Genomic DNA, 23,482 nt, shown 5'->3' with positions numbered 1-23,482 from the left:
ATCTTGACATCTTATGTTGTTGTGTGAGATGTTAAATATTATTTATCTGCAAAAATGTTTATAATCATAGAAAAAAGATGAATCACATAAAAAAGAAAAAAACCTTAGTGGATTAATAACACTTAGATACTAATGCTTCTGTTTGCAAATATACCTGAAGCCATAGAATACTAGTAATTTTTATTGCTTTTCCTTGAAGCTTTTACACTGTGTCAGATATTGACCAATTGGATGAGTTAATATTTAAGTGTCACATAATAAAAGGATTTAGTTTCCAGCTCTTCCTGTTGCTTTATAAAAAGAATTTCACACTTCACTCCCACCCTCACCTATTCAATGTTAAGCTTTGGCAGACAAAGTGTAGTTGTTGTATTTTCAAAGTGATACTAGTGGTGAATAGTGTCGCTGTAAATTGTAAACATGTAATTGCATATTATTAAAGTTAAATTAGCGGTGACATGTGTCATAGAAACTTATATAAAATGACTGCTTTGAGAATTTTTAAAAAATACTTCATGTACATGTCTAAAGATAGACATGTATATGCATCTATCTATCTATAATTTTTATTTTGTCTTAAATGCATAATATTTTTAACTTTAATGTTGATAGTTTTTCAGGGTATTATGGAAATAGGTCTCCCTTTTCCTGGTTCTGTTCTATAGTAAATAATTTAATTGATAATGTGCAAATTATTTTATTTAATGCTTACTAATGAGATTCATTTTTTCTGAAAAAATATCTACCAGGTACTCTATATTAGAGTTACACTGCTTAATCAAAATTGAGTTTTTAAAATTACAAAATAAAATAATAATTAGAAATATGTATACATATAAAACATATTTTATGTATTCTAAAACGTACCTTAATATTCTTTTGCACTGTTTCATTTAAAATAAGGAGAACAGATAGTAAAATTATACAATTTATAACCAGCATCAAAGTGATGATTAGTGAGAAAATTTAAAATCACTGCATGTACTAATGCAGTATGAATATAATAATAAGTTATAAGCATCTCATAAAATATATTTTACACATGTAGACCTTGCCTCTTTAAATATTCTTCCATTTATATTGTAATACATTAAAATTTTATAATACACAATTGGTCACTCAGATGAATACAGAGAAAAATTTGGATTGTTCATGTAATCTATAATCTATGAAAAATTCAAATAAACCCATTTTTATTATACTCCTGCTATTTGCTGTAACTTGGCTAAATATAAACTGTGAGACAAACAAGGTAGAATAAGATAGTGGCCCTGAGCTCAAGAACTCCTGTTCTCCTGAGATACATGAGACAAATAAGCCAAGATACAATAGGTTGTTGAGAAGAAATTAAAATCCGGTCCAGGGGATACATTTCAATCCTATGAAGCCCTATTTCTATGACATTAGGCAAGTTACTTAACTTTTCCTGAGTCTAACATTACTCTTTTGAATAGATGGCAATACTTTCCTCATCAGCTATTCTAAATATTAAATGAGATAATAACATATCACAGTGCTTGGAACATGGTAATTGCGAAAGAATTAACTCTCTTCCTTTTTCCCAGATGGCAGAAAATAAATGTCATGGAAAATTATTTAAAAAGTTGTAACAGTTTCATACTAGATTGAGACATTTCACTTTAATTCTCAAGATGAGACTCACTCTCTCTATTTCCAGTTGGAAATAGAGAAAAATAAATAAAAGTTTCCAAAGGAATACATACTAATGCTTCTGTCAATTGCTTTGCATTTTAATTAATTGAAATTCTGACCAGCTTATACTGGAAATATTTTCATAATCTTAGCTAGTCTCATGGTCTCCAGAAATAAGCAGAAATAATTCTGTTTTGAAATTTTATAATTTTAGAGTGTAATTCACATTTTAAAACATTCACATTTATTGCACATCACAGGCAAACAGGTAAGGTCAGAGGAGAACCTCCAAATTTAAAGTAAATAAATAAAAACTTGTGTAGAAATAAACACAACCTTTTAAAATATCTCTTTCTCTCTCTCTCTTTTCCAAAATATAGAAGGATCTCTCTCTGGCTAATGTTGTTTGTTTGTGTATTTTTCTTTGCATATTATTCTAAAGCATTTGGACATAATGAATGCCCTGATCCTGGAATACCAATCAATGCACGGCGGTTTGGGGACAACTTTCAATTAGGAAGTTCAATTTCAGTTATTTGTGAAGAAGGATTTATTAAAACCCAGGGAACAGAAACAATTACATGTATTCTTATGGATGGAAAAGTAATGTGGAGTGGACTGATTCCAAAATGTGGAGGTAAGTGTAGTAGTGAGTGAGAAATAGAACCTCATCATCATTATGTACAAGAAACCACAACAAGAAACACATTATCCTACCAGGACTGTCATAATCATTATCTTAAAACATTTCTTGATATTCTATATTAAACATATCTTGTTAAGGAAATTACACTTTTAATTTTTCATGTTAAAACAAATTTTTAGAAACCTTTTAGAAGCTTCCTTTTAAAAAAAGCTCTTATTAAAAGATAAAGATTAATGAATGGTAAATATTGGTCACATGTGTAAACTCTCTATAGTATACTTCCTAGTTATAGTTTAATACACTTTATAGTTTCCATTCATTTTTTCTCGGTATGTTATCTATTCATGGTACACACTAATTTTCAAAAATGTGTTAATAATGATCAATTATAATAAATACATTTAAGCTAAAACACCCATTTATTTAAAATATATGATTTCTGAAGGCATCATTTGCTAATTTTTTTCAGTTTTTATTTTTCCAATTAAATATAGTCAACAAGGTTCAAGGCATATATATGTGTGTGTGTGATATATATGTATGATCTTTGGAATTATTATTATTTTTAAACCGATTCTCACTCTGTTGCCCAGACTGGAATGCAATGGTGCAATCTCAACTCACTGCAACCTCTGCCTCCCAGGTTCCAGCAATTCTCCTGCCTCAGCCTCCCTAGTAGCTGGGATTACAGGTGCATGCCTCCGTGCCCAGCTAATTTTTTGTATTTTTAGTAGAGACACGGTTTTTCCATGTTGGCCAGGCTGGTCTCAAACTCTTGATATCAAGTGATCTGTCTGCCTCGGCCTCCCAAAGTGCTGGGATTACAGGCATGAGCCACTGCTCTTGGCCTATTTTTGTATATATACACTCATATGAAATCTCAGATTATGTTGGTAAGAAGGAAGGATGATCATAATTAAAAGTAAAACATCAATTACATAGTATATCAATTTAGAATCTACTGAAATGAGGGACCTTTATTTAGATTTGCCACAGAAGGAATTAACATTCTAAATTTTAATTTCTCCTTCCACTATAGTATCTAATAATACATATCTATTTTATTATAAAGATATAAATGGGCTGGGCACGGTGGCTCACGCCTGTAACCCCAGCACTTTAGGAGGCCAAGGCGGGCGGATCACGAGATCAGGAGATTGAGACCATTCTGGCCAACATGATGAAACCCCGTCTCTACTAAAATAAATAATAATATTAATAAGAAAAAAAACTAGCCGGGTGTGGTGGCACATGCCTGTAGTCCCAGCTACTCAGGAGGCTGAGGCAGGGGAATCGCTTGAACCTGGGAGGCAGAGGTTGCAGTGAGCTGAGATCGCGCCACTGCACTCCAGCCTGGTGATAGAGCAAGACTCTGTCTTAAAAAAAAAAAAAAGAAAAAGGAAAAAAGTATACAAATGAACTTTTACTAAGAAATAGATGAACTATAACTGTCTAACACCTTTAGTAGATTGTCATATAATAATTGATTATTTTAAAAGCAGTTTCTTTTTCTTATTTTCCAAGTTTTTCCTCTTACCTGTCTCCAAACTGACTAGCTGATAAATTGAGAAGATTTAATATGTAATTTTCCAAAGTACAACAAATTTAATTGAAGCATTACCTATATATTGATGACTTTCATTGGATTGAACATTTTCATAATGTCTCATGATGAAGTAATCCCAGACCGTGTAATTATGTTTTCCTAGTGGCCCCTTCAATTAATGCTTTCCTTCTTTTTACTACTAACTGCTTTCTCATTAGTAATATCAGGTGGGCAGAACTAGATGACTTTAGTGTTCTTTTTCAAACTTCAAATAGTATGGGTTCAGCAGGGGCTACTCTGTCAATAATTATGACTATGATGGTATTTTAAAAACATAGTGGAGTTACACAATAATGGACTAAAGTAAAAAGGGAAAATGGATAATATGGATAGTAATACTTAGTTTTTCCACCATTCTTTTTGCCGGAGCCCATTCATTCTTTTAACATAGTTTTTGATCCGGCTTTGGGGAACCAGTAAGAAAAATCTACATTAGCATTTTTGTTTGTTTGTTTGTTTGTTTGTTTTGAGATGGAGTTTTGCTTTTGTCACCCAGGCTGGAGAGCAGTGGCACCATTTCTGCTGACTGCAACCTCCGCCGCCCGGGTTCAAGAGATTCTTGTGCCTCAGCCTCCTGAGTAGCTGGGACTATAGGTGCACATCACCACACCCATCTAATTTTTTTTGTATTCTTAGTAGAAACTGGGTTTCACCATGTTGGCCAGGCTGGTCTTGAACTCCTGACCTCAGGTCATCCGCCTGCCTCGGCCTCCCAAAGTGCTGGGATTACAGGCACGAGCCACCACGCCCTACGGCCACACATTAGTATTTGAAGCAACAGTAGGAAATGAGAGAAAAGTGTGTTTCAGGCAAAAGGAATAGAGCCAGTTCAGTGTGACTGCAGGGGAGGACACAGTGAGTTGGATCTGATGAATGACTAGAGAAGTCCAGAGCATTAGACCCTTTTTAAATAATGCTAAGTAGCTCCAAAGTTACCCTGTGGCTAAACAGGAGCCATTGCAGCTGGGAAATGACATTATCTGAGCCTCACCCTCCCCTGCACTGAAATTTGTTTTAAATCTCAGTCGACACATACAGAGACCACTTCTAGGTAAGTTTGAATTTTGTTGGATCCTCGTTTGCCTAACTTGGGCATTGGTTTTGGGGTTGCTTGGTGCCTAGCTTCATGGTGGAGGTAAAAGTAATTAGTAATGTCAATCAGTAATTTAATGAATCACTACTTATGTAGAGCAATTTCAGGGAGATTTTCTACTATCTGTGAAAAACAAATGGTATTTAACTTTTAAAATTAAGTAAGATAAAATATTCAGAACTCTAACTTGACAAAGGCCAATAAGCCCTCCACACATCCCTAAGAGAACCCTTATGAAGTTTCTGATGGACAAGAATTGTTTTTCTCTATGTGTGAGTGAAATGACACACAGTTGGCACACCTGCCTGTTTGTGGACCCAATAGCAAGGTGGAAACATCACTAAGGATGAGGTTGGAGCCAAGGAAGGCAGAACTGGAGTGGGCCAGAAGCAATCTTAGGGTGGCCCTTGCCAGGTTACTACTCTATCCCAAACCACCTCTGAGCCAGTTTCCACCCAACAAAGCAGACTGCTGTCAACTCTATAACTAACTCAGGTAGGTTTGATTTCTTAGCCTCTAATTAAGGTTTATATTGATTTCCTTTCATTTTGCCTGAATTCTACTTAGGTACTAACAATTAAAGCCTGAGACTAACTGATGCCTCAGCTTATTTTTATTTTTCCTAATTTAAAAAAAAAAAAAAAAAAACCTGCCCCATCCCCCCACCATTCCTGAAACTTCCAGAGCCACTCCCACTTACATAGAGAACTATGGTTGGGAGGCTACTCCTCCTGTCTCCTTTTTTCTGTAGACAGTCTATATTTTTACAGATAAAATTTTTCTTATTATTTATTATTGTTCATCTTTGGGGCACTATCGCAGCCTCCAACATTTACAAATGTTAACAAACGTTAACATCCTTAAGATTTTCACTGAAACTTTTAAATTATCTTCATATTAAACATTTCAAATAGAATAACTTTTTAAAGGTACATGTTGGTATTTTCTGGTTAATACAACTAAATTTCTACTTCTATTTTATTTTCTTCAAAATCAAATTCATTGTTAAAAGTTATATATATATATGGATTGTTGTGTATTAAAATTAGAAGGTAGAACATTTTGTTTTAATCAGAACTTACAGAACAATGGAAATCAGTATAAAATGTTTTTGTTTGAAAACTCAGAACCTCAATCCACTTAAAGATTACCTTAAATGATCTTAGCATCATTACTTGGCTTTCTTTCTTAATTATAGCCATAATTAACTTATTTTTCTCAGCTCTGATTTGCTTTACCAGATTCTTGAGATCAGTTTGTAAAGGAGAGTGTCTGTGATTATTTGGTAAATTAGCTATAGGTAATTCTGCCATCATCTTGTTGCAGGTACTTTTGATTATCCAATCTTTTAATACTTCTTCCTAGTGGATGTCTTGCTTTTAACTTGTTCTGTGAGTTTAACACACAGGCAGAAAATGTCTTTCCAAAATTTTTACTCAACTCAACTTCATCTAGATATTTATGTCCTCTAGGTTGGTGAAGCCAACTGCCACTAGACTGGATGGTAGTTTTGGTGAATCTGAGTCTACAGATAGCACCTAATGCCCAATGCCACAGATCAGGAATCATAATCTCAAATGCTTAACAGGAGCAAGGAAGTAACAGAAATGAATTAGATGGGCTAAAGGAAGCAGGCTACCCTCCCAATGGACAGGTGTATTTTCCCACTTTTTATACAGACATAATTATAGATAAATATGTGCTTAAAAACAGTATAAATAATACAAAAAATTATATTATTGACAACTGAGAGCAATGTTTCCATTAGCTTATACAATACCTTCATGGACATTAGAAAAGAGCCACAATCAATCCATTGTGCTAGGCCAGTGAAGCAGTTCAGAAATCATATATTGGACAGCAACCTCTATTCCTTCTAAGAAAGCACACCAATGTCTCAAGAAATTGGGTATCCTTTAGGGCCTTAAGAATCATTTTGCAAAGTAGTTATTTCAGGAGAAAGTTTCTTGAGTTACTATTTTTTGTTGTGAAGTTGTGTAACACTGTTTAAGTCCAATCCTCTAGCACCTAGAGTCTAGCTGGAACATCATATCTTGAATTGTGCATTCTCCCCCAAATGATCATTTCAAATTCAAAGTACTCTCTGCAATATCCTTTTGGCTTTGCATTGATATTCTGCTCATGTCTTATCCTATTTTTACCATGAGACAGTACAATTTTGCTAATAATTTAGCTCCTAATGTGGCTCAGTTATCTAGTATGATTTCATTTCAGTCAGACTCAGGAACTAGACCAAAGTTATTTAAGAAGCATTGATAAATAACAGAGATTTTTACTTTGATTTTTTTTTTTGAGTTAGGATGCAAGTGTTTTATACAATGAAGTAAACAGAAGGCTTCTCAAATACCTTTCTAGGCCATCTTTTCCCCCTTCTCACCCACCATTCAAGATAGCTTGTAAAAATCATCACCACCATCATCATTATCATTTATTTCCCTGTCTTCCCCCATGCTTACACACACACAGTCCTCCCATCACTAAGCTCTTCTTCTCTCCCTTTCTATTTTCCTTTCCAGGGCCCATGTCTTTGTTCACATGAATTCAGTCCCTCTGTCACACACATAATCCTCAAGTTACCAGAAAATCCACTCCACTGTACTCTGCACCCAGGAAAGATTCATTAATTCCATTCTGATGGTTTTCGATTGACATTCTGTCTCCTTGGAAGCTTGGTGAATAAATTCTTCACCTTGTTATAATAAATTATGTACTGATTTTGAAAACAACGAGAAGAGAGACAGCAAGTTTTTGACATATATTCTCAGCTACTCTCTGAGTTACATTTCTACTTTATAATGCCCGCTTCTGAATTTGCCAGTAATAAGCCAGCCAATGAATCCCAAAAGAACTTGAAAGGGATACCAGGCCATGAGATGTAGTATAAAACAAGAAAGTTATCTTTCTAAGTGTCAAGCAGTGAGGACTAAGTCATCTAGAGTTTTCTGTTTTAAAAAGCAAGACAGTTGGACATAAATTAATTCTCCTCTGTTGCAGCCACAGAAGGAAACAGTTCCTGAATATAAAGATTTATTATTCATTGGTGAATGCCTTTAAAATAAAATGCTACTGAACTATACTCATGTAGATTGAAAGTTGAAAAGGATTTTATTGCAGACCAAAAATGAAAGATGCATTAATGTATTCATTATTTTGTTATAGAATCTGAAATTCATACCATTTTTGTTTTAAAATCAAATTTTCCTCAATAATTTAAAGTTATACAATTATTTAACTGTTAATGGAAAAATAAGTTAGACAAGTCTAAAAATTATATATGTTATTAAATTTTATTTTATTAAATATGCTACTCAGGCTCATTTTAGTCTCCTTTCCTGGTTTCTCCTCCTCTCTGTGATCTGTTTAAGTGCATGTCCCAGAGCTACATTTTGGATATGTTCTGCTCTCTATTGCATTCATTTCATTGGTGATTTTTCAATCAGTCTCTAACTGTAAACAATATCTACATGCCGCTGTCTCTCAAATTTACATCTCTAGCCTGGTTCTCTGCCCTGAAATGTAGACTTATATGTTCAACTTCCTACTCCACATCTGCACTTAAGTGTTTAATAGGCATCTCAAACTTACCCTGTCTGAAACTGATATGTCTCCCCACGTCACTCTAAACCTGCTGTTGTCACTCACTTTCTCCATTATTAATAGCAACTCTATTATTTCAGTCATTCAGGCCAAAATTCTTCGGTCTTTATCAAATCTTTCCTGACTCCTTTCTTTCTGTCATAACCATAGATAATGCATCAGAAAAACTGGCTAGCTCTTCCTTTGAAATCATTCAAAACCCAAATATTTCTTACTACCTCCACTGCTGACATCTTGGTCCCAGCAACCTTTGTCTCTGGCTTTAATTAATCCGTAGCCCCCTAACTGCTCTCACTGCTTCTGTCTCTGCTTTTATTCAGTTCTATTCTCAACACAGCTGCCAAAGTGATATACCATTCTTCTCTAAAGAGACTTGGTCCCTGTGATTTTTTTCCCCTAAGCAGTACCTTGTCATTTCCTTCCAGATCCCATGCAGATACTGAAATTTGTAGTTCAAATTAGAAATAGCTTGTTGTTCAGTCCACCTGTGCCCAACCATTAGTTTCCTCATAATTATTTCTCCTCTGAGTCTCAGAAGGCTCTGATGTATATATGCTTTCTGCTTCTCTTGTCCTTTTTACCTCACTCTGACTCACATGTCCCCTACACTGTAGTCAGCAGTGCCCCCTTTGATCTAAAGCAATCTCCGTGACAAAAATGGAAATGAATATTGGCCTTCTGGATTACATGATCATGTTCTTGAATATGATTAGATGTAATACATTCATGGGTCTGCTTTATAGATAAAGGAGATTACATTTAGTGAAATACATTGGAAGAGTCTGATGAATGCTATTGCCTCAAAGCTGATGATTTAACTAAGAGCTGGGTTAAGACTGGCAAAGTTGCCTTTTTCTTGTGGATACTCGAAATGATTTTGAACATTGTTATATTTGCAGCCCTCCTGACAAGGAAAACCATAGGAATAAATGTGTGACTAACAAAATGGAGAACTAAATTTTCCTGCTGCTTTAGCTTTGGCAACTTAGATCTCCAGTTAAGAAGAAAAAATTATCTATATTCCTCTTCTTGAAAATTTAAGGACAAGACACCCCTCCAGAGCTTAAGTGGGTTCTAGCTGATTCTTTTATCTCAATCATAACCTCTGCCATCCCACTTCCAATGTGCTAAGCAGCAAAAGCTAGGGAGATCTATATGTCTTTATCTATCTAATCCGTATATCTGTCTTTCTCTATCATTCATCTATCTATAACTGTTTGAATTATAAGTTGTTTGGTTTTTCATTCTTCTTAGAGGAGGGAAAGTGCTAGTCTCCTTATCTTCAAGCCAAATTGAGGGAAAGGGCTGCATAAGAATCCCTCTTAGAGAATGGAGATGTTTGTGTGAAAGAGAATTCCCAGGTGGATATTTGCTTATACAATGAGCTTGCTGATCTACCTTCTATGCCTATTGAACAAAAGAAAAGAAATTGGTGAAAAGCTGGCAGGTTGGAGAGAGGGAGAGCTGTTTAGTTCAAACAGTTTGATTAGTCAGTGATGTAAGTTTCCTGTGCATCAAATGAATACCAAAGAAATTACTCAGGCTTGGCCACAGGAAAAGACAATCCAACAGAGTTATAGGGTGTGCCGTCAGGGATGGGAGCAGACAGGCAACTACAAAAGGTTGAGCTTCTCTTTTATCAGGGAATTGTGCGGTGAGAAGCCATTCTCCTCACTCTTGGCCTTTGCAAACAACTCATTTGTTCTCATGGGAGAATCAACATGTTCCATACCTGACAAAAGAGAGGCACCAGTGACCAGACAAAGGTTTGCAAGGAAAGCAATAACTTCCAGGAAAGGACTATGACCTTTCACCTCATCCCAGCCCTAACTCACCACAGGAAACAGGATCTAAAGGTAAAAGGAAGAGGACAAGATATAAAATAAGTGATAATACCTTCTCTACTCCAAGTGCTGAAGTAAGTAGAGGAATGAATCTGAAAGTGCTGGCATTCCTTTAGCATGCTCTTCCCTATCCTCCAAGTCTCTCTGGCTGCTACTCAAGGCACCTTGGGTGAGTGAATGGAGAGAATGAGATAACAGTTTTAAATTGAACTGGATCAAGTTTTTAAATACTAGAAGTGATAAGAAAACTAGAGGCTCTGCTTAACATGCTCTTTGAGGAGAGAAAGAGACTTGGCAGTGTGTGTTTTAAGGCAGTAATTAGAAAAAAAAAAAGTCTTCTGTTTTTGCTTCACCAACTTTAGAATGTTCTATAAAATGCTTACTCAAGCAAGAACTCCCTTGCCCTCAGCACAGAACTCCCTGCATAGCTGTGGCTTATGCTCCTTCCTACTCCCTAATGGGATATCTAAGAGAATTCTTTGAGTGAATAGGATGGGACTGAAGTCCCGGGAGAACTGTTTGAAGACAAGCCTGGACTTGCATGCCTGATGAACTTTCCCTTTGAGGGTAAGAGGTTCTCTCTTGAATCTCAATTAGTCTCAGAGGAAAGGAAGCCATTCTCATTCACAGCCATTACATTCTTTTTAGAGAGAGTTCTTTTGAGGAAGCAATTAGAGTAACAATTTGATACACAGATCAGAATTGATTTGTGGTTCTTATAAACAGATATGTATTCACACATTTATATATATTTATATCTAACAATGAACCCCTCCTTTAGTTAAGTATTTAGGTGTTATTAAATTCTACGTCTCCTGAAGCACTAATATAGAATAATGTAATTTAATAGCCATCTGCAGGGCTTTGCTTCTAATCTTTGTGGAGCTGGGTACAGGGAGGGATAGAAGTAGTTATGGAAATGGACTCTATTTTGGCTCCTTAATTACCATGTTTCTGTCTTTCTCTTCTTATCCTAGATACATACCTGACTTGTTCATTGTAATTTTTTTTTTTTGAACCATGATGCAGTGTGCTGAGGTTTGAGAGACCTGGTGATTACTTACCACACCTATAACCATAAAGCAAGTTTTTTTTTTTAAGGAACAAAATGGAACTGTCATTGTCTGATTGTCCTTGAATTGGCATCTAGATTTTATCAAGAACAACTCCACAGAAGGACTGTTTATCAGACCAAATGCTACAATGTTCACCTCTTTAATTCACCTATGGCAAAATCCCTGTGATCAAAACCTAGCTTAGCCCATGGTCCCCAACTTCCTTCTGAGCACCTAAGTACCACTTCTCAGATGGAAGAGCATCTCCTGCTGTGGAGTACCAGCACTCCTTAGCATTTTTATTCAGGAGAATTTTATCTGAATGCAGTCTGAAGCACTTCTGATTCTTTCATCGAGGTCTTAAAACACAGTGGGTTCTTTGAATGTATCCTTTCTTCTTAAAGTAAGACAAAATTGAGCCAGCACTCAAACTCACATTATTTATAACAGACGTTCTTCAGGCCTTAGAAAAATAAAACTAGATAAATGAACTATATTGAATTTACATATCTCATTGTTGTTTTCATTGCTACAAAAAGAAGAATTAAAGGCAACGACCTGTGTTTCACTAAAATATCCAAATAACTTCCTCATCCCAGAAAACTGAGAGATTAACCAATGGAGTCTTGGAGCTGCAGAACACCCACATCCCTTAAATTTCCTGTGTGGTCCACATACCTAACCAATAAAAGGACCTGAGGGATCAGGTGGGGGTCTTGTCAACCATGCAGATTTTTGGGTCCCATCTTACAACTATTAGAAGTACAATACAGGAATCTGCATTTTAACAAGCTCAGTAGATGGCCACTAACGTTTGAAAGTCTTTGAAAGCAATAATAACTGCAGGTAACCAGAGGCCCCCATGAACTGCTCCTCCTTAGGCCTCCACTAATAATAAGTTGTAACAACAAGAACCACTTGACTTTCCCCCACACAGATTAGTGTTTTTTACTTCCTACCTCTGCCTATTCTGTCCCACTTCTGTTAAGCCTGTTTTGCTTGTATTCATTTTTTAATCTAAACTCTTCTTTGACAACATCTCCTACCCAGACTCTTTCCTAATGCCCCTGGGACAGTACCTGTCCCTGCCCTATATTTCAAGGCTACTTACCCAGCTCAAGCATGTACTTATCATGTTTCATGTTAACTGTATCAATCTTCCTTGTAGAAAATGTGTATCTCTTGAAGGCAGATATAATATCACATAGAATTTTTTTTCAATTTCAGCAGCTAGCACAGTATCTTAGACATAGTAGCAGAAACTAAATGTTTATTTAATTAATTAAAAAATGAATAATAGTAGTGGAGAGGCACTTAAAATGGGGTTAGAGCCTCAAAATTATACTAAAAACCTTTGGACTAAATATTCTACCCCCTGACTTTTCATCTATTTCTGTCTTCACTAAACCAATGGTAAAGAGAGTATAAAATGTTTAAATAAACATTTCTTTTGGAAAAATAATAAATCTACTGTGGAAGTAATTCTTAACTAGGAATTTAACAATTTGAATTTGAGTCTCAGCTCTGCCGCTACCTAGTCCATGTTTCTGATCAAGTCATGATCATAAGTCAAAACTCCATCATAAGTTGAGGATCATCTGTGTGTCAAAGAAAAATTTCTCTGTCAGAGTTAAACAGGCAAGCAAGACTATTTGAGACTATTGCAAAGGAGAAGAAAAATTGAACTCAACTCCTTTGAAAGAGGGAGAAGGTTTTTAAGCATTGGGGTGAGCTAGTAGAAAAGTACTGGAGCATGTTAGGGGGTAGGTTGGCCAATGTGATTAGATCATTTATGTTTGATAATTGGAGCTTACTGAAGTTAGGTTCCCACTCTCCCACAGAGAGAGTGGAAAATAAGGGTGCTTCAAAGGGATGGCTCCCAGGTCATTGAAAAAGACATTCCTGGGTCATAAAACTAGTAAGAGGCTGGGAGAAAATGTACATTTCAAAGGTACAGAGGAAAAAAAACAAACAAGTTTTCTAAACTAAATGCTCTAGGAAAGGGAGGTGGGAAGGAGGGTCTTGAATCAGGAAGAAGCCTGTCTAAATTTAGTTAAACTAAAGTTTATCTCAGTCAACTGAGATATAAACTATTCTATTTTTCCACTAAAACCTAGGAATTTATTACTTTTACTTGCTAAAATTATCCCAGTTCACACACTTAGGTGAGAGGAAGACCCAAACAAATAATTCATCTCAGCCCTTTTCTCAGTGTTGTAGTGATATACTGGCTATTGGACAATACCTACTTAATTTTATTAAATTAAAATACTTTTTTCAAAGGGTTGCATATTCAATCATCTTTCATTTTTTCCTCTAAATATTCACCTTTACCTTCAACCTCCATGGAAACTTGAACATCAACCAATTTTGAAAATCACTCCTAAGATAGCCAAGAGCTCCAGATTCTATTTTCTCTTGTTTCTTGTGATATTTCACAGACCCTTCCATTTTAGCACTGAATCTCATTAACTTTCCACATGAAACTCCTCCCTGTTCCGTGTTTCCCATTTTGGTGAATGGAATCACCATCCACCCTATTGCACATGCCAAGGGCTCAAGGACCAGTTTAGACTCCTTCCTCTGACTCACTCTTTGCACGTCAATAAATGCTTTTGATTCTCCTTCCTAAATACCTTGTATATTCTGCCTATCTCTGCTACAGCCTTATTTCATAATCTGATAATGCCTTTCCTAGATAGTTGCAACAATCTTCTAACTGATCTCACTAAATCCAGGTGTACTGCTGCAATCCATTTTACATGAAAGTTTCACTTAAATGAAAATCTTATCCTTTGTCTATATACGTGTGTGTGTATATATACATATCCTTTGTCAACAATTTTTCAATTGCCGTGGTTCACTTTCCATAGTGGAGCAAACCAGGTCCTTTTCTAATTTTCTCTCATCACTTCTTTATTCCCCAGAAAAGGTAATTGCATTACTTTATGCTAACTCAATCCTCTATGCATTTGCATGTGATGTTGCTTTCATTTACAATATCCTCCCTCAGTTTTTCTGTTGGTGCTTCTTGATTTCTTCTTCTTGATTTCATCTTCATTCTTGATTTCATCCTGTTTAATCTTCAAATTAAACAGAATCTCTTCTATGAAACATTTATTCATTTCCTTTTCTGGGCCCCTTGTACTGTGGACATACCTTTGTTATAGAACTTGACATTTTTACGTTTTGTTAATGTTTCTGTCTTTTGCACCATGGGCACTGGGAGGAAAGGAAAAAGACTATCTTAATGTCAGTTGGAAAGAATTTTTCTAGAGTCAAACTGCCTTTGTTCAAATCCTTGACAGTTCAGATGCAAATTATTTAAATTCCTTACACATCAGTTTTCTTATCTATAATAGTGTACTTATCTGGCTAGATTATTTTGAGCATTATATAAAATAATCTGAGGGTGCCTGACACAGAGAAAGCATTCCATAAATGTTCATTAGTAGAAGTAGTACAAATGCCACACAGGCACACACCTGTCAGACAATGGTACGTCGAAGAACTGAAATATAAATGAATAAAAGATGAATGAATGAATGGGACTTTGAAAATGCTTCTTTATGGCCTTGGTCCCCTTTTTGCTTTCTGTATATTCCAAATTTTTCTTGTTCAGCCAAGAGTAGTTATTGTTTTTTAGAGAAATCCTTTTTGAAGTGTAGTATCTTCACACCTGGAGATACACAAGCTCATTTTTGGTTAAAAAAATGTATAAGAATTTCTTAAATTTCAGTAGGTACATAATTAACTACATAGGCAATATATGGATATGGCAACATTGTTAAGTTTGGATAACTTTTTGTTTTTTTTAGTTGTATTTTACTCATATTGCAGTTAGATTTCTTTACAGATAAAATATTTGCAATTAATAATATTTTTAGGCCGTGCACAGTGGCTCATGCCTGTAATCCCAGCACTCTGGGAGGCCAAGACAGGTGGATCACCTGAGATCAGAAGTTCAAGACCAGCCTGGCCATGGCGAAACCCTGTCTCTACTAAAAATACAAAAAATTAGCCGGGTGTGGTGGTGTGTGCCTGTAATCCCAGCTACTCGGGAGGCTGAGGCAGGAGAATCGTTTGAACCCAGGAGGCAGAGGTTGCAGTGAGATGAGATTGTGCAATTGCACTCCAGCCTGGGCAACAAGAGCAAAGCTCCATCTCAAAAAAAAAAGAATAAATACATAATAATAATAATAATATTTTTAGGTTTCTGTTCCAAAACTCTAGGCAGCTTTTTTTTTCTTCAGCTGTTTTGTTTTGTTTTGTTTTGTTTTGTTTTTCTACATTTAGCCTCTCCTTTCTCCTGCATGTTATCTATTCCATGCTCTTCCACTGTTGCTACACCATGGCTTCTCCTTACTGACATTTTCCTCTCATGTGCCCGAGAGTCACTTTAATGATGAGACTTTTGCTGACCGACCCATATAAGCATGTCTCTCCCCTCTTGGTGGTAGACCTTCTAGAAAGTTGGTTCCTATACTTTTGGAAGAATAATTTTGGGAAATTCCAATCCTTTAAGTGAGAAAGTAGCTACTTCAGAAAATGTCATAAGTAGGAGAAGAACCACAAGCAGGGTCACTATACCAGAGAGTCATTTTAGGAAACAAACAGCAATCAATCACATCTTTAGGCTACTTCTTCACTTTAAAGACCCCTTCTAACTCTGCCTCCCTCACATTTTGCACTGAGTGGCTAGTCGGAATGCTTCTCAGTACTTTACTTTTTAATTCTTTATGGCCCATTTCTCAATTGTTAATTTTATGACTAATTACCTCGTCTAATGATGATTAGGTTGAATGAATGAGTGAATACTTTTCTGGAACAATATGAGTTGCTGACATAATAAAGATTTATGTCAGAAATACTCTGTATTTTGGGGCTTTCTGTCACTAAAATACTTAGCTCTGTCTTGTAAAATATGGTAATTTAAGTGACTATTATGCACATAATTTCATTTTTGAAATACATAACCCTACAGGAAACCTAATTATGAGTCATCATAACTAGGAAGAGTAAATAATCCTCATAAAAATGGCCTCCTTTAAAACTAGCTTTTTAGGAAACAAAATTAAATTCTATTAAGGAAGAAAACTTAGTTTTTATGAGAGTTCTCTGTCATACAAATAACATCTTTTGGCAATTTCACATAGAAAATGTTTTACTAAAAACAGAAATTTTACAGTAATGTTTAATTCCTAGGCCAATTTATAAATATTTGCTATTTCATTTGGGTTCCATCAAGTTATTTAAAGAATAAAAAGGAGTAAAATAGTGTCTAGAGCAATTGTTTTCAGAAATTCTGTAAGGCAAAACAGAAAGAAATAAGCTAGGAAAAATATAAACACATGGGTAAGAGTTTAAATGGGAAGATTTAAAGAAAATGATGTGAAAAGTCACTGGAAATAATGATGTATTAAAAAGTTGATCTAGTGTACATTTAGACTTTTTTTCTTTCCTGATAATTTTCAACATCTTAAACACTCTTTCCTCCATTTTCTCTTCTGTGTATACTTCCTGAAAGTAGAGCAGGCTAATGTAGCTGGGCTGCAGAGTGGAGGGGAGTTCTGAGACAAGGCTAGAGAATAAGCAACAGCTAGATCCCACAGAGCCTTATCAGGAAACACAGAAAGTTGTCACTGAAGGGCATGGTAAGCTTTGTGAATTAAAAAGAAAAAAAAATCACTGTATCCGTAGCATGGAGAATAGTGTAAATGCAGAGACCAGTTCAGGGGTTATTTCTATACTTCAAGGATGAGATGATGTTATTTTAAACTAAGATGAAATCCATAGAGCTAGAGAAATAAGAGTGAGCTTGAGGATGGGTTGGATATGGGAGTAAATGGTAAAAATAATATACGTATGAAAACTGAATACTTCTAGCTTCTAGTTTATGCAACTGGACAGATGGCGGTTTCATTTACCAATACAGGAAATAATGGAAGAGGGTCAGTACTAAGGCTTTGTTTTGCAAAAGTTGACTTCAAAGTGATTTTAAGACCTTTCAACCTACTGAACTTTGGCAAGTTGCTCTCTCTAAAACTTGGTTTACACATCTCCAAAATGAGGCGTTTACACTAAATGACCTAATCAGTACTTACTGGAACTACAATGCTATCATTGTGGTTTCAATTGTGTGTGAGCTTAGGGAAATCAGAGGATACAATATTTGAAATGATAAACAGAATATTTAAATTTGATATTAAAAAGAAAAGAGATCAAAATACAAATCTAAGAAAGGGGCTAGATGTCTAGGAAATGGTATGATGAAACTATAATTTGGAGGAGCTTATTCTGACAGCTGGACTAAAGTAAGAAAGAAAATAGCAGATGAGAAATAAGGTAAAAAGCTGAATCAATGAAGTGACTCTGGAAAATGGAAGCACAAACTGTTAGTGTATAAGATGAATTAGTAGAATTTGATAACATAAGTAAGAAAATCAAAGAGAAAGAAACCAAAGCTAACAACTTAGGTTTTCTTTCAAGCTTTGAATACAAAGATGACGATGGAGAGACAAGAATATATGTAAGGGGTATTATTCAGAGACTTAAGGAGGAGCAGTTTATTACCTGACATGCTAAATGTAGCTATTTCATATTTTGAAAAGTAAATTACCTTTTTAGAAAAATAATCATTTAACAGAAGTAATTGACTAGATGTACCATTGCTTTCAAAAATAGTATTAACTATTTAATAAGGATATGCAGAGACTTGTTTTTGAAATTGTTTGTATTAAGAATAATATCTGCGATTTATCTTGAATGTTTTATTCTTACTTGTCTGATTTAATTTTTCAGCCCCATGTGGTGGCCATTTTTCAGCTCCCAGTGGAGTGATTCTCTCACCAGGATGGCCAGGATACTACAAAGACTCTTTGAATTGTGAGTGGGTGATTGAAGCTGAACCTGGACACTCTATCAAAATTACATTTGAAAGGTCTCACAAATATTTTTCCTACTTTTAAAGAAAATATTATCTAAAAGATTAGTTGACATTCTCTTTTGCATTTACCAAATGAATGTTTAATTTTATTGTAATAGTCAATTGCTGTGCTTTGAATGCTTCCATCTGTTTGCCCCCTTTTAACCTTTCAGCGTGTTTCCAAGTTAATTTTCTATTTGTGTAATGCTGTATCAGTACTATTGAAATATGCAAGATCGACCTTTTTGCTTTATGTACTACTAAGATGTGAACATGTGACCTTTAACTTAATGAGTTTAGTTGTTCTATACTTTGAAGGGCCTGTGAATTCTGCTCTGCTAGGTTTCAAGAGGCGAAGGTGCTGTAAACACATTCAAATCAACACTAGTGCAGTCTAAGACACTTAGGCACACTATCCATATGCTTTCACCTATAAGTCCTTGTGAAAATGACTGTCATGTAGTATGTAGTAATGGTGGAACAGCTGACCTTTTATTTCCCCTAGAAAAATTAGTATTACTGATCAAATAAACTATATTGTAAAAGGCTATAATATTGTATATTTTAAATCTTAAAAGAATGAAACTTCTCTTACGTTATTGAATCACAACTTACAAATCAAAATAGATTTATCTATATAATCTCTCAGTTATATCATTGACTTCTCTCATCTCCCAACCCCTTTCTTCAAAAAACAAACAGATGAACAAAAAAACTTATTTAAGCATTAGATCCACATGAAAAACATATAAGTACAGCAGAATATATTTATTATTGACTGAAGATTGAATTTTACAAACCTAACATGATTCTTTCCTAACTCAAAAGGTCTTTCATTGAATTTGTCTATCCATGCTAGTGTTAACATTTGCATGGGAGAGAACAGATTCCACTTTGAACAGAGGTAGAGTATTAAACATTTCACATGGCTTCATTCTACTGTTAAAACAAAAACGTTAGACAACTTAAATTTAACCATGTTTATTTGAGCAAAGAACCATTCATGAATCAGGTAGCACCTTGAATCAGTAAATATGAAGAGCTTCGTATGGCAAATGGGCAGAAAGTATTTATAGACAAAAAAAGGAAGTGACATAAAGAAACAGCTTGATTAGTTACAACTTCGCATTTGACTTATATAGATATGATCTGATCAGTCGGTGGCCTGTTACTGACTGAAGCTTGGTTTCTGTAATTGGATGACACTCAGCTATTTATTACAAGATTATACTCTTAGTTAGGTTGCCATTTCTTATGCGGGAATTCAAAGTATACAGGAGGTTTTAAGCTAAACTTAATTTAACACTATCTTGTTATAATCTACATGGTTTACTAGGGCTATATTAGTTTTCTATATTAGTTAGGGCTGCCATAACCAAGTGTCACAGACTGCATGAGATAAAAAACAAAAACTAATTTTCTCACATTTCTGGAGGCTAGAAGTTCAAGATCAAGGTGTCCACAAGACAGTTTATTCTGGATTCTCCCTTTGCCTTGTAGATGGCTGTCTTCTCCATTTATCTTCACGTGATTTTCTGTGTGTGTGTGTTTATGTCCTGGACACCAGTTACATTGGATTAGGGCCCATCTATATGATCTCACTTTACCTTAATTACCCTTTTAAAGTCTCTTTCTCCAAATACTGTCACATTCTGAGTACTACTAGGGATTAAGATTTCAACATAGAAATTTGGGGGAACACAATTTAGCCCACAACAATAATTGACACATTTTTAAAAATTTTCATTTACATTCATTTGGCATTTTGTTGTTGTTGTTGCTATTCTGTTAAAACCGTATCCCCTATTTATTGGTTTACATGGCTTATGTTGCCATAGCAATTTTAGAAAGCTTGAAAAACATCTTAGTTATTCATCATTAAATCTTTTTCCAATATAGTTTTTCCATGAATGTTGAACTAAAATTAACCAACCTTACTTTAGCACACAGAATTATGTTTGGTTTGGAATACATGATAAAGCATGATATGTATTGATTTGGAACAATAGGACAAAGATTTCATCCATATTTTTCAGTTTTTAAATTTAGTATTTTACATTTGAAAAACAAGCATATTTGTCAATCTATCAGAATTAATCTCATATATATTTATATAATATGTCAAGTACATAATTTTCGTATTTCTTGTTTTGGACTAAACATTATTTTGTATCAGGAGGTGCAACGGTAGTTGAAAATATGTTATTTTCATATTTTATTTGTATCAGTTCATAGCATCTATCACCCAGATGACTCTCACCAGTCATTATCCTTCAATATTCAAGTAAAAAGACTTCACCGCCATCCCACATACAAGGGAAACCTACTCTCTCCTTCAATTTTCAAAGAATGCCTGGGGGTGCTTTTGTTCACTTCTGGACTTAAATTCTGTCTCCAGAATCAACCTACATAATAGACACTGAGGCTGCTGCACTCTCTCAACATTACTCTATTCATTTGCATCACTTTCTTTCATTCTCATGAAAACCATAATGCAGGTGACAATGAAAGAGGATTATTGCACAATCCAGAGTCATTTAAGATTGAATAAGCCTACACTGTTCTAAATTTTCTTGATAACCCTCATCACAGGAATAATTGCTTGTATCTCTCCAATCCCCTCTCTTATCCCAAACTGTTCTTCATTTTTTTTTTATTATACTTTAAGTTTTAGGGTACATGTGCACAATGTGCAGATTTGTTACATATGTATACATGTGCCACGTTGGTATGCTGCACCCATTAACTTGTCATTTAACATTAAGTATATCTCCTAATGCTATCCCTCCCCCCTCCCCCCACCCCACAACAGGCCCCGGTGTGTGATGTTCCCCTTCCTGTGTCCATGTGTTCTCAGCGTTCAATTCCCACCTATAAGTGAGGACATGTGGTGTTTGGTTTTTTGTCCTCGCGATAGTTTGCTGAGAATGGTGGTTTCCAGCTTCATCCATGTCCCTACAAAGGACATGAACTCATCATTTTTTATGGCTGCATAGTATTCCATGGTGTATATGTGCTACATATTCTTAATCCAGTCTATCATTGTTGGACATTTGGCTTGGTTCCAAGTCTTTGGTATTGTGAATAGTGCTGCAGTAAACATACATGTGCGTGTGTCTTTATAGCAGCATGATTTATAATCCTTTGGGTATATACCCAGTAATGGGATGGCTGGGTCAAATGGTATTTCTAGTTCTAGATCCCTGAGGAGTCGCCACCAACAGTGTAAAAGTGTTCCTATTTCTCCACATCCTCTCCAGCACCTGTTGTTTCCTGACTTTTTAATGATCGCCATTCTAACTGGTGTGAGATGGTATCTCGTTGTGGTTTTGATTTGCATTTATCTGATGGCCAGTGATGATGAGCATTTTTTTCATGTGTCTTTTGGCTGCATAAATGTCTTCTTTTGAGAAGTGTCTGTTCATATCCTTTTCCCACTTTGTGATGGAGTTGTTAGTTTTTTTCTTGTAAATTTGTTTGAGTTCATTGTAGATTCTGGATATTAACCCTTTGTCAGATGAGTAGATTGCAAAAATTTTCTCCCATTCTGTAGGTTGCCTGTTCACTCTGATTGTAGTTTCTTTTGCTGTGCAGAAGCTCTTTAGTTTAATTAGATCCCATTTGTCAGTTTTGGCTTTTGTTGCCATTGCTTTTGGTGTTTTAGACATGAAGTCCCTGCACATGCCTATGTCCTGAATGGTATTGCCTAGGTTTTCTTCTAGGGTTTTTATGGTTTTAGGTCTAACATTTAAGTCTTTAATCCATCTTGAATTAATTTTTGTATAAGGTGTAAGGAAGGGATCCAGTTTCAGCTTTCTACATATGGCTAGCCAGTTTTCCCAGCACCATTTATTAAATAGGGAATCCTTTCCCCATTTCTTGTTTTTGTCAGGTTTGTCAAAGATCAGATAGTTGTAGATATGTGGCATTATTTCTGAGGGCTCTGTTCTGTTCCGTTGGTCTATATCTTTGTTTTGGTACCAGTACCATGCTGTTTTGGTTACTGTAGCCTTGTAGTATAGTTCGAAGTCAGGTAGCGTGATGCCTCCAGCTTTGTTCTTTTGGCTTAGGATTGACTTGGAAATGTGGGCTCTTTTTTGGTTCCATATGAACTTTAAAGTAGTTTTTTTCCAATTCTGTGAAGAAAGTCATCGGTAGCTTGATGGGGATGGCATTGAATCTATAAATTACCTTGGGCAGTGTGGCCATTTTCACAATATTGATTCTTCCTACCCATGAGCATGGAATGTTCTTCCATTTGTTTGTTCTTCATTTTTAATCTCTTCTGCATCTAGAATCTTCAGTCCTCATTTCCCCATTCCCTGTGCTCCTGGTATATAGCAGGGTAAGTCTCAAAATACCTATTACTTTATTATGCAGAGTGATTTAATTATTTGTTTTTCTGGGTGATGTTGGGGAGTAGGAATGGATCTTGCCTTTCTTTTGAAACATACTATTATTATTATTATTTTTTATCAAACAGCAGTGTTTTCTTATGAAGACCTCACCCCTTCCCCACCTTCTAGCTGACTGAAACTGGAATGTTATTTTAAAATAACATTTTCTTTTATTCTCTTATTCAGTTTTAAAATACTATATAAGCCAAAAATAATATGACTAGAAAATTAGTTTAAGCTTTATGAACACAAAGTGCATTATTATGTTGAAAAGCATCTGCTGATTTGCTAATGAGAGTCATTAATCATCATTAAATAAATAAACACCTAGTATCTTTCAGCTCAAAGTAGGCTACTAAGAGTGGCTCACTTGATGAACAGTTTGATTGCCAAACAATGCCTGCAATTCAGAGGGCATCCGTACTCTGACATTTGATTTTGGACTTTTGTTTGAAGGCACTATTTTCTCTGTCCAAAATTCTTAGCATGCATCTGCTGTCCTTCCAACAGGCCAATATAGGCCTCTTTGCTGCTTGCCTATCTTGTTTAGATACCTTTAGAATTCTCCAAATGAATTCACTTGTACTGTATAGCCTATATTTGAAATTAGACTGTTTCAAACCTGACTTTCTGGTGAAATCTTTC

The 23,482-nt window shown here is 35.3% G+C and overlaps 1 protein-coding gene across 9 annotated transcripts in view, besides 3 other annotated features; it reads left to right on the top strand.

Annotated features, from left to right (window-relative positions):
• Positions 1–23,482, top strand: part of CSMD3 (CUB and Sushi multiple domains 3) — a 1,214,012-nt gene that overhangs the window by 752,208 nt on the left and 438,322 nt on the right. For all 9 annotated transcript variants that reach the window (NM_001363185.1, XM_017013010.2, NM_052900.3 and 6 more), the window contains 2 exons: positions 2,096–2,290; positions 18,317–18,455. In NM_001363185.1, the coding sequence (NP_001350114.1) occupies positions 2,096–2,290; positions 18,317–18,455 (334 nt within the window). The remainder of the gene's footprint in view (positions 1–2,095; positions 2,291–18,316; positions 18,456–23,482) is intronic.
• Positions 10,092–11,291: an enhancer, noted in NCBI's record as "MED14-independent group 3 enhancer chr8:113685670-113686869 (GRCh37/hg19 assembly coordinates)". NCBI's record gives its function as "activates an origin of replication core promoter dependent on BRD2, BRD4, P300/CBP and CDK7 cofactors, and independent of MED14, by STARR-seq in HCT116 cells {active_cell/tissue: HCT116}" and the evidence as "EXISTENCE:reporter gene assay evidence [ECO:0000049][PMID:35650434]".
• Positions 10,092–11,329: a biological region, named in NCBI's record as "MED14-independent group 3 enhancer GRCh37_chr8:113685670-113686869".
• Positions 10,738–11,329: an enhancer, noted in NCBI's record as "OCT4-NANOG hESC enhancer chr8:113685632-113686223 (GRCh37/hg19 assembly coordinates)". NCBI's record gives its function as "activates a minimal SCP1, AML or CMV promoter by ChIP-STARR-seq in naive H9 embryonic stem cells {active_cell/tissue: H9 hESC(naive)}" and the evidence as "EXISTENCE:reporter gene assay evidence [ECO:0000049][PMID:30033119]".

This window comes from Homo sapiens, chromosome 8 (assembly GCF_000001405.40).
Source record: "Homo sapiens chromosome 8, GRCh38.p14 Primary Assembly".
Lineage (NCBI taxonomy): Eukaryota > Metazoa > Chordata > Mammalia > Primates > Hominidae > Homo > Homo sapiens.
The sequence above is the reverse complement of the archived record's forward strand: the minus strand, read 5'-3'. Positions and strand labels throughout refer to the sequence as shown.